At 40.4% G+C, this 12,651-nt stretch overlaps 1 annotated feature.

The window, feature by feature from the left end:
- Nucleotides 3,322–4,468: an enhancer, noted in NCBI's record as "enh6". NCBI's record gives the evidence for it as "EXISTENCE:reporter gene assay evidence [ECO:0000049][PMID:21408189]".

A 12,651-nucleotide genomic window follows, 5' to 3' on the forward strand; every position in this document is an offset into this window, starting at 1 on the left:
ATCATGTAAACAACTTGCACTTATGAGTCTTTTATTTTTTATTTTTATAGAGATGGGATCACACTATGTTACCCAGGCTATTCTTAAACTCCTGGCCTCAAGCAGTCCCCTCATGTCAGCCTTCCAAAGTGCTGGGATTACAGGCATGAGCTACTGCACTTGGCCCAACACTTAAGGGTCTATTCACAGGCACTCTTTAGTCCCTGAGATTCCTAAGGAACCAGGAAAGCCTAACACCTATGAAAGGCTCAGTGCAATACCTTTAGCACATTGGTGTCATTGCAGATGAGGTCTTGTTACCTAATGGAGCTGAAGCTTTAGTGATATTGTTTGAATTTGTGTCCTCACCCAAATCTCAGGTTGAATTGTAATCCCCGGTGTTGGAAGAGGGGTCTGGTGGGAGGTGATTGAATCACAGGGGTGGTTCCCCCTTTCTGTTCTTGTAATAGTAAGTTCTCACAAGATCTGATTATTTAAAATGTGTAGCATCTGCCCCTTTTCTTTCTTCCTCCTGCTTCAGCCATGTAAGACGTGCCTGCTTCCCTTTCACCTTTTGCCTTGATTGTAAGTTTCCTGAGGCCTCCCCAGCCATGCCTCCTGTACAGCCTGTAGAACCATTGGCCAACTGAACCTCTTTTCTTTATAAATTACCCAGTCTTAGGTATTTCTTTATAGCAGTGTGAGAACAAACTAATACACTTAGAAAACTCAAAAATTCCAAGATGTCACCTGAGGATTCTTTCTGGTTTCTAGCATGCCAGTATCTTGGTATAAATCCACACTTCTCTTCAAGTTGTTTTGTGCCACATCTACACCTTTCGCCCAATACTCGATTTGTTTCTCATGTTAGAACAGTTTGAACACCCATTGAGGATGTGACATTCATTCTCTCTCTCCTCCTTTTCTCTCTCTTTCTCTCTCCTCATATTATACAGGGCCAAAGGGAAGTCAAGGATTAGGGCTTCAGCCTCATCTAAATTTTCTACACAGCAATGCAATTTAAGATACTTCATTAAATGCAGTGCCAGTTGTTTTCATCTTAGGCAGCAAATGATATGAGAACAGCCCTCTACACATCAAGGCCCCATGGGGTAGGCTATAGACAGCCAGAAAGAAGATCAGCTGTCCCTTTGACACTTTACTTTGAAGTCCAGCTTTCTCTCCAAGGTAGCTGAGTCCTCTCCACATCACTGCCAACCCCTGCCTCCAGGCTTTATCTAAATCACCCTCCTCTCCAGTTAAATCTGTAGGTTCCTGTGGGGACGAGTGGCTCCCACTGGCTAAGGCCTATTTCTCCAGGTTATATATGTCAGAGTTTTCCATGCCTTTAACAAGACTCAATTAAAAATTAATCAGCCCAGCATGGCAATTTGGAGAGGTAATTGTTTCTTTTCCTGACTCCATGGCCATAGGCTAAAAGCATACCCAGTACCTAAATTAATCATCTAATTGGGATTTTTCCATACTCCAATGACTCAACCTTCCAGCGATCCCAGCAAAGTGCTGTCCGACCTCAATAATTAATTTGCCTTAGTGTCCACTCTGTGGGTTTCTCCCCTGCTTTCCCTTCCAATCCCCTTTAGTAAAATAGAAAATAGCCATATAGGCCGTTTACCTGGGCCCTCTCCAATAACCAGGAGGCTTTATCTTCAGAAGATAAAATAGCACTTGTGAGGAAATATTGGAAATAGTGGGGCAGGTTCATATATTCAACATAGTTTGTAATAGAAAAAAATGGTTACTAACTAATGGTAGTACTTGATTGGCTAAATAAAGCATAGTATATCCATGCAACACACAGCAATATGGCTTTAAAAAGAAATGAGGAAATGTCATGTATGCAGCTATGGAATGTTCTCCAGGATATTAAAGGGAAAAAAAAGCAAATCACATAACAATACATGAAATGTTATATTTGCAAAAAAAGGGAAGAAAATATATGTAATGAAACGTATGTGTGTACAGACATATATAATACACACATATACACATGTATGCATATGCATATATTGATAGAGAAATATAAATATATATAAGTTTGTAATGCACTTAAATCACCTCTGGGAGGAGTCACAAGAAGCTATAAAATCATTTGCCTGTGGAAAGATAAACTGGGTGTCAGGAGGGGAATAGAAGAGAAAATTTCATTGTATGTCATTCACGTGCCTTTTGAATTGTGAATGTTCTTCCTGTCCAAAACATAAATACATTTATATCTTTGATATCATTTAATAATACTTGGTTTATGGTTGAAAATTCTTACAAACTTATATACATAACATGAATAGATAGACAAATAGCACATTTAAATAATTTTTAAAAAGAGAAGAGCAGGGAGAAGGAAAATTAGTACTTATTGAGCTGTGTGTCAGACCATGTGTACCCGTTTTTTTGTTTTTGTTTTAGTTTTTGTTTTTGTGACGGAGTCTCACGCAGTCACCCAGGCTGGAGTGCAGTGGCACGATCTTGGCTCACTGCAAGCTCCGCCTACCGGGTTCACGCCATTCTCCTGCCTCAGCATCCCCAGTAGGTGGGACTACAGGCACTCACCACCACACCCGGCTAATTTTTTGTATTTTTAGTAGAGACAGGGTTTCACCGTGTTAGCCAGAATGGTCTCAATCTCCTGACCTCGTGATCTGCCCGCCTCAGCCTCCCAAAGTGCTGGGATTACATATGCGAGTCACTGCGCCAGGCCGTGTATCCGTATTTAACACTCAAAGCAACCCTGCAAGGTGTCTTCATCTCTCCCTTTTTTTTTTTTTAACAAATGAATATAGTGAACATCCAAAGAAGAAATTAGGCGAATACCAGAAGTGCTTGTGTTGATTCATAGTAGCTAACACACACACATACACCCCTTTATATTTCATTTTGATATAATAAATACATTGTTTACTCTTCCCAAATATAAGATAAATGGCAATCTTTTTATAAGGAACCCACTCTCTCAATAACTGCATTAATCCATATATGAGGGCGGAGTATTCATAGCCTAATCACCTTGTAAATGTCCCGCCTCTCAATACTGTTAAAATGGCAATGAAATTTCCAGCACTTAGTTTTTGGGGGACACATTCAAGCCACAGCAAAGGTAATCTCGCTTTTGCTAGTCTCAGTTCAACCTTTAACAAGACAAGCATGTATACCTATGCTGACAAGCAGCAGGAATGTTGCACTTAGTCTTATCGTGATAACAGAACAATCCTTATAAGTTTCAACAACATCTGCTTACAAACATGTAGGAGGTGAGAACAAGTCCAATTTTTATTTTATCTCATTACTTAATGAGTACAATGGACATTATTCAGGTGATGGACACACTTAAAGCCCAGACTTCACCACTATGAAATATGTCTCTGTGAGGAAATTGCACTTGTACTCCTTAAATTTATACAAATAAAAAAACAGCAATAAATACATAAAGTGTCCTGTAAAATTCAGTGTTCTTGCAGTTGGTTCACAGGTCCTATCCGAGCATAACAAAATTATTTACACAGCTTGTAACGACCTATTATAGATGGTATTAGAAGAATTCTTCTAATTCTCTGTTAATCACACTCCCTGCTCTTTATTAGCTCTATCTAGGCAAAGCATCTCCCTGGAGAGAAGAATTTGCAGCAAGCAGGAAGCTCTGGCCTCTTCATGTTCATATCATGAAAACTCAAGAGGACTCCCTGCGACCTCTGACCTTTTCTCCATGGTTGGGGTTGCCTTAGGGGTCTCTCTCCCATGGAGAAAGAACCACCAGCCTGCTTGCCCCTCTCTCCTTCCTCCCTCTCTGGTCAGCCTCACCTGTGATCACCCAGGGTAGGAAGAGAGGAAAGCCCTCCCCAGGCTCTGATAACAGGGTTGCATGACTGTAATTACAGGCTTTCGCTTCCCAGCTACCCAAATGACAGTCACAGTGGAGGCTGAAACGCCTCAGTCAGATGGAATCAATTACTGGGCAAAATTGGGAGGTTAATTTTCCCCAGAATGAGATATGCCTTTTAGCTTTGCCATCTCTTTTACTCCAGCTGGTAGCTTATTTGGTCGCATTGTTCTCTGGCCATATGAACAAAGTTCCATTAGGAAGGATTTCCAAAAGAGTTGATTTGAAAAGGAAACTCCATCAGCCCCCAAACTCAATACGAGCTGAATAGGACTGTTATTAACAAAGCAGCATGGATGGCTAATCACTAGAATTTACATTTGACGGGCATGGGGTTAATCCAATAAGAAGAAATGAGATCTCTCAGTCCAGTACCAGTCCCTTCTTTAAGGTCCCCTGGCTGAACTTTACCATGGCCCAGCACTGAAAGAGCTTTACCTTCTGGAAACTTCCATGAAAATAAGCCACTTCCCTCATTAGCATAATTTTCTAAATATGACAAAGCATCTCATTGAAAACAAAATAAAACAAAAGACAAAGAGTATTCATCTTTTTCAAGTACAATTGCCGCTTCTGAGTGGCTTAGTAGAAGTGTTAAAATAGCTTCCATTTAATAGTTTATAATAACAATAGAGACTAAAATTTATTCACGTCCCATGTTTAAGGAAATGGTAAATATTATTTATTCATTAACTCAATCACCTCAAAAACCACCCTAAACTGAGGCCATGAGAAGTTGGCTAACTTGTTCATGTTTACCCCACTGTTAAGAGTCAGAATGTGGGCCGGGCGCGGTGGCTCACGCCTGTAATCCCAGCACTTTGGGAGGCCGAGGCGGGTGGATCATGAGGTCAGGAGATCGAGACCATCCTGGCTAACAAGGTGAAACCCCGTCTCTACTAAAAATACAAAAAATTAGCCAGGCGCGGTGGCGGGCGCCTGTAGTCCCAGCTACTCGGGAGGCTGAGGCAGGAGAATGGCGTGAACCCGGGAAGCGGAGCTTGCAGTGAGCCGAGATTGCGCCACTGCAGTCCGCAGTCCGACCTGGGCGACAGAGCGAGACTCCGTCTCAAAAAAAAAAAAAAAAAAAAAAAAAAGAGTCAGAATGTGAACCCAGATAACCTGAATCCACTACCTACAATTTAAAATCACTCTGCTATATGAACATTGTCACTCCATATGTGCAAACATTTCAAAAGGGAAATATTCTTATCACTTGTAGGTGGGGAATTTGGAGCATGAAGATATTAACTAACTCATGCAAGTTCAGAGAGCTCTTAAATTAGTGAAGCTGCAAGTCCATGCCAGATCTGTCAGACTCAATAGCCTGAATACAGCTACTAAAACCCTACAGAGGCTTTGCAAGAGCCACTACTGCAAGGCCTTGGGTGATGGTTAGCTAAAAATAAGTGGTAGTGGTTATCAATTCTAGTATCATTTATGTTCTTCTCTTAGTCCTCTTTAGGAGAATTTATGAGTCCTATAATAACATTGTATAGCTATATTGTATTCTGAATCCTACATAGCTGTTTTCTTTATATCATCTCTTTAGGGGGTCACTCCATGAAGTAAGTACACATTTCCTTAGGAAACAGACTTTAAGAGTTTGAATAACTTGCAAGAAAATCACTGGAATTAAAGTTCAGTGCCATTTCTCACATGTTTATTGCGGCACTATTCACAATAGCAAAGACTTGGAACCAACCCAAATGTCCAACAATGATAGACTGGATTAAGAAAATATGGCACATATACACCATGGAATACTATGCAGCCATAAAACAGGATGAGTTCATGTCCTTTGTAGGGACATGGATGAAGCTGGAAACCATCATTCTCAGCAAACTATCGCAAGGACAGAAAACAAAACGCCGCATGTTCCCACTTGTAGGTGGGAATTGAACAACGAGAACACTTGGACACAGGGTGGGGAACACCACCCAACAGGGCCTGTTGTGGGGCGGGGGGAGGGGGGAGGGATAGCATTAGAAGATATACCTAATGTAAATGATGAGTTAATGGGTGCAGCACACCAACATGGCACATGTATACATATGTAAGAAACCTGCACGTTGTGCACATGTACCTTAGAACTTAAAGTATAATAATAAAAATAAATAAAATAAAATAAAATAAAGTTCAGTGCCATTTCTACTACTGAAACCTAACAACCCCATGATACCTGAAAGATTTAAAGGTAGGTACTTTATTATTTTCTGTCAATCTCTAATTCAGGAAAAATAAGCCATTATTTGCTAATGTTATGCCATTTATTAGAAGTGAAGCGGCCGGGCACGGTGGCTCACGCCTGTAATCCCAGCACTTTGGGAGGCCGAGGCGGGTGGATCACGAGGTCAGGAGATCGAGACCATCCCGGCTAAAACGGTGAAACCCCGTCTCTACTAAAAATACAAAAAATTAGCCGGGCGTAGTGGCGGGCGCCTGTAGTCCCAGCTACTTGGGAGGCTGAGGCAGGAGAATGGCGTGAACCCGGGAGGCGGAGCTTGCAGTGAGCCGAGATCCCCCCACTGCACTCCAGCCTGGGTGACAGAGCGAGACTCCGTCTCAAAAAAAAAAAAAAAAAAGAAGTGAAGCTTGTGTTGGTTTAATCATTCAGCAGACATTTATTAAATTTCCACTGCATACCAGACTAGTAGCATGGTAGTAGACCACTATCGAAGTCTCAGAACAGGATAGAAAATGCCCCTGCTCTCACAGACCTTATATTCCACTGATAAACATGGCAGGAACATTCGTAAATGCCTTTTACACTTCTCACGTATCAGATACATTACGTAATGTGGTTGGAAATTGGATTGAATGGCAAACAAGTTAGCGTTTTCTGGGTAGAAGTAAAACATGCTAGATTGTTTTTCTTTGCCAAAGGAGTATACCATGATAATTAAGACATTTATGAAAATCTAAAAGTGACCAAGCGAAAAATAATCCAAACTGAAATTGAAAAAAAAACATAATTTTTCCATATTATTGAAAAAAAACCATAATTTTTCCATATTTCTTTCAGTTGTAATAATGTGAGGTGTGGGTGGTAGTTTTTACATTACAGCAGGACTCCCTACTTTATAGTTCATATACCTGTTGATGTACGTGGATCTTTAACCTCATAAAGAAGTGTTAGGGCAAAGCAACATGAAAAAACATAGATTGAAAACTACTTCTAATTTAAAATTTTAAATGGAGGTTAATTTCTGAAGTTAAAAAAGTAGAGTGATTAAATTCATAATTATACATAATAAGCAATATATATAGAAATTGTATGTAATATTTTATATAACTGATAGGTTATATTTATATCATTCATTATAAGAATTTGACTTACTGGTATTACGTTCTGGATCTGGATTCCAGATTTCATGAATTGAGGCTTACCTGTATTTAAGAGATGTCAGGGCTGATACCATATTGGATGTGAGGGGACATTCTGTTCTCAGTAGTCACTGAAAAATGATATTTATGTAAGCCAAAAGAAACACACACGCACACATGTGCACACCAACACATACACTTTTTTACCCTCTAATATTTTTAGATCAAAATAATGTGATTCTTGTTTTTTATTCAGAAGGGGTAAGAGACCCTGTTGTTACAAATCTCTACTAAGTGGTTTCCATTACATTTTTTTCCTTCTTTTTTTTTTTTTTTTTTTTTTTTGAGAGACTCTCTCACTCTGTCACTCAAGCTGGAGTGAAGTGGTGTGATCTCGACTCACTGCAACCTTTGCCTCCTGGGTTCAAGCGATTCTCCTGCCTCAGCCTCCTGCGTAGCTGGGACTACAGGTGCGTACCACCATGCCTGGCTAATTTTTTTTGTATTTTCAGTAGAATACAAAAAAATTCTACCAAAAAATAGAATTTGTAGTAGAATTTAGTAGTATGGGGATGTCTTTTGCACTTCAACACCACGGTGTGTCCTCTTGCATGTATTTTCTAAGTTACGACCATGTGAGCAAATGGTGATTATTGAATAGATCCTGCTTAATGATTTTGGTGGAGAAGTGAAACTCTTCCTTATAGATAAAGGCCTTATTTGCCTTGCCACTTAGACAGTTTTACACCTTGTGGCATCCTCTGTCAGCATGCAATTTCTTCCATTATTCAACGATTGCAAATGTGTATTGGAATCTCCACACCATGGAGTTTCGCCATGTTGGCCAGGCTGGTCTCGAACTCCTGGTCTCAAGCGATCCACCTGCCTTGGCCTCCCAAAGTGCTGGGATTACAGGCGTGAGCCACCATGCCCCAGATATCCACTCTATTCTTTTTTTTTCAAGACAGAGTCTCACTCTGTCACCCAGGCTGGAGTGCAATGGCAGCGATTCTGGCTCACCACAGCCTCTGCCTCCCGGATTCAAGCAATTCGCCTGCCTCAGCCTCCCGAGTGGCTGGGACTACAGGCGTGCACCGCCATGACCAGCTAATTTTTTGTATTTTTAGTAGACAGGGTTTCACCATGTTGGCCAGGATGGTCTTGATCTCCTCACCTTGTGATCTGTCCACCTCAGCCTCCCAAAGTGCTGGGATTACAGGCGTGAGCCACGGCACCTGGCCTATCCCTTCTATTCTTAGCCCTGGCTTTTCTTCTCATAGATTGTTTCCTTCCTTGCAAAGGTAGTCCCTGATAAGAGCTGGGGCACAGGCCCAGGCCCAGGCCCATTGAGCACTGACCTTCCCCCAATTACAGTATCTATAGTGTAGGTGTAAAAGGGGCTTTCTCATTATTATTATTTTGTGGTCAAAAGGTTGCACACACTCCTTTTTTTTTCTGCTGCTGAAGCTTAGAAAGGGTGGAAAGCAAAATATTTTGATAATTATTCAGGCCATCAGGTTACATAAGAGGTTCCACAGCCTTCTGCATCAAACTTGAACAGTTGAAACCACAAATTCTGTTTTTGCAGCCATAAAACATTCATAGCAAAAAAAAAAGAGAGAGAGAGAAACAGAAAATAATAAAATCCATTTTCCATTTGCTTGAAACTTATAAAATTTAATGTGGTGAAAAATGACAGTTTACTCCCTGTAGGAAACTGCTCAGAGCCATGTTTCATAGGCATGGTGTGGAGTTTCTAATGCACACTTGCAGTCATTGAATAATGCAAGAAACTGCATGCTGACAGAGGATGTCACAAGGTGTAAAATATCTAAGTGGCAAGGCAAATAAGTCCTTGATCTATAAGGAAGAGTTTCACTTCTCCACCAAAATCATTAAGCAGCGTCTATTCAATAACCACCATTTGCTCACAGTCGTAACTTAGAAAATACATGCAAGCAGACGTACCGTGGTGTTGAAGTGCAGTAGACATCTCCACATGAAGACTGAAGACATTTTGCTATTAGCAGTAGCTAAATGTGGTTACTAGCATGGAAAACATTTAATTTTTTTTTTTCAGATGGAGTCTCGCTCTGTCACCCACGTTGGAGTGCAGTGGCACAATCTTGGCTCGCTGCAAGCTCCACCTCCTGGGTTCACGCCATTCTCCTTCCTCAGCCTCCCGAGTAGCTGGGACTACAGGTGCCTGCCACCACACCTGGTTAATTTTTTTTTTTTTTTTTTTTTAGTAGAGATGGGGTTTCACCATATTAGCCAGGATGGTCTCGATCTCCTGACCTTGTGATCCACCTGTCTCGGCCTCCCAAAGTGCTGGGATTACAGGCGTGAGCCACCACGCCCAGCCATTTTTTTTTTTTTTTTTTTTTTTTTGAGACAGAGTTTCACTCTGTTGCCCAGGCTGGAGTACAGTGGTGCGATCTGGGCTCACTGCAACCTCTGCCTCCCAGGTTCAAGCAACACTCTTGCCTCAGCCTCCAGAGTAGCTGGGATTACAGGCATGCACCATCATGCGCAGCTAATTTTTGTATTTTTAGTAGATACTTGGTTTCACCACGTTGGCCAGGCTGATCTCAAACTCCTGACCTCAAGTGATCCACCCACCTCAGCCTCCCAAAGCACTGGGATTACAGGCGTGAGCCATCGCGCCTGGCGAATTATTTTTTTTAAAGATATGGTGGCACTAGTTATAACCTCTACATAATATAGTATTTGTATATTTTTTCTTTTTCTAATATATCATTAAGAGTAAGATCAAAACATTCAATGCACAGTGGCAAAACTGTAGAGCTCCAGCTCTGTAAGTAACTGGCAGAGTGGCTATAAACATGCCTTTAAACTCAACTGACCTTGATTTCTTTCCTATAACGTTAATGGGTTGGACTAAGTGATTTCCAAGTCCAACTTCAACTAATATTCTGTAGGAATTTTTAGAAAAGGATAATCGCCTGGATATTCAAATCAGTAGAACGTTGAACCAATGAACAACTGAAAACAAGAACTGTTTTGACTATATCCGAGTAAAGTTGAATATTATAGGTGGTTTACGAAATGTCTGTGTCCTACAATAGCTTTAATCATATCTTTAGTGTTTGACTATATTAAATGCCTATTACCATAATTATGCTGCCTAATAATCCATCTCAAAACTTAGTGGCTTAAAATAGCATAAGTATTTACTATTGCTCAAGGATCTACAGGTCAGCTGGACAGTTCTGCTGCTCTGGGTCAAGCCTGGCTGTTCTGACTGGGTTTGCTCAAGCATCTGCAATCAGCTGGTGAACCATGTGAGAGGTAGTTGCTCCTACGGACTGGATGTTTATGCCCCCCCCAACCCCAAAAATTCAAAAATTGAAGTCTAAAACCTCAATATAATGGTATTTGATAATAGGGCCTTTGGGAAGAAATTAAGTAATGAGGCTGGATTCCTTATGAATGAGATTAATGCCCCTATAAAAAGAGAAAGAGACAGGAGTCTCTCTCTGTCTGCTGTCCAACTTGTTGTGAGGACACAAGAAGACAGCCGTCTGCAAACCAGAGAGAGCACCCTCTTCCACCAGATACCAGATCTTCCTGTCCCCTGACCTTGGACTTCCCAGCATCCAAAACTGTGAAAAAGAAACTACTCAGTCTATAATACTTTGTTATAGAAACCCAAATGGACTAAGACAACTTATTTAAAGTATTTTTTTTTTGAGACGGAGTCTTACCCTGTCACCCAGGTGGGAGTGCAGTGATGCCATCTCGGCTCACTGCAACCTCTGCCTCCCAGGTTCAAGGGATTCTCCTGCCTCAGCCTCCTGAGTAGCCGGGATTACAGGCGTGCACTACCACGTCTGGCTAATTTTTTTGTATTTTTAGTAGAGATGGGGTTTTACCATGTTGGACAGGCTGGTCTCAAACTCCTGACTTTGTGATCTGCCCACCTCGGCCTCCCAAAGTGCTGAGATTATAGGCATGAGCCACCACACCTGGTCTATTTAAAGTATCTTCTAATATAAAGTTCTATTCACCTGTCATTTTAAATGGACTTAATATACTGCAATATTCTAGTGTAATGTTGGGCTCCTGTAACTCACAGAAGTCTAGATATAGATATAGATATATAGATATATAGATACATACAGATACGGATATAGGTAGATATAGGTATAGATAGATATAGATATATATAGAGAGAGATATAGATATGTTTGTAAATATTTTGAGTATTTTAAATACCTAAGTAAAAATGCCCAAGTTATAGATTAACATCACCAAGTGGTTTTGAAAAAATTTAGCTAGGGACAAGCCTTTAGCTACATCAGATAAGGATTCTACAAAATTTTGTAGACTCATTCTATAAAATCATCAGTGCTTTTCTTCCAATAAGCTTATAAAAGTACCGAGAATGCTTTTCCAAGCAAATGTTTTCTAACAATTCTGAAACTGCTCTTTACCAGGCATGTTCAAGTCCTGCCTTTTTATTAATAGTCTCTCTAAATCCAAGTTGATTAAATATAGTTAAAAGGAGAGAACTATTTGAGACCAAACATGGTAGTGCAACTTGGTAACTCTTGTTTCATTTGCTGTGCCATCCAGACCAAAAAAAAAAAAAAAGTCAGTAAATAATCAATAAGAGGCCAGGTGCAGTGGCTCATGCCTCTAATTCCAGCACTTTGGGAGGCCAAGGCGGGTGGATCATGAGGTCAGGAGTTCGAGACCAGCCTGGTGAAACCCTAGCTCTACTAAAAATACAAAAGTTAGCCAGGCATGGTGGCATGCACCTGTAATCCCAGCTGCTTGGGAGGCTGAGGCAGGAGAACTGCTTGAACCCAGGAGACAGAGGTTGTAGTGAGCCAAGATCATGCCACCGCACTCCAGCCTGGGTGACAAAGCAAGACTCCATCTTGAAAATAATAATAAGAAGAAGAAATAAGAAAAAATGTTTATCATAGTTTATATACATTGTGCCACAGAAAAATATAACTGACATACAGATGTAGACCATTGCTTTGTATTTTAGAATGAGTTCTGGTAATGTTTAGAGGAAAGAGATTTACCTTTATTTTCAGCATTTCCATAAACCTTTCAAAAACCTCTAATCTCTTAAAAGTACAAGATGAAGAACTACATTAGAAATTTCCCAATAGGCAACCACAAAAATATAATATTACCACTTAAAACCAACATTATTCCTCCTCCTTGTTAGAATGTGGCACATTTGAGCATCAGATACAATTAAATATATTTGAAGACTATAACTGAATACTTTCTATGTGAGAAGTAGAAAAATGTCATGCTTGAAATAGGCAAATAAAAAAACTGAAAAGTAACCAAATATAAGACAGAGATTCTGCAATAAGCCATGTCTTCAGCATTTTAAAAGCTGAAGCCACAGCTTTTTATTGTTGTTCATATGTCTTAAGAGTATTTCCAATTGGCAAAGCAAT

Source organism: Homo sapiens, chromosome 17 (assembly GCF_000001405.40).
Source record: "Homo sapiens chromosome 17, GRCh38.p14 Primary Assembly".
NCBI lineage: Eukaryota > Metazoa > Chordata > Mammalia > Primates > Hominidae > Homo > Homo sapiens.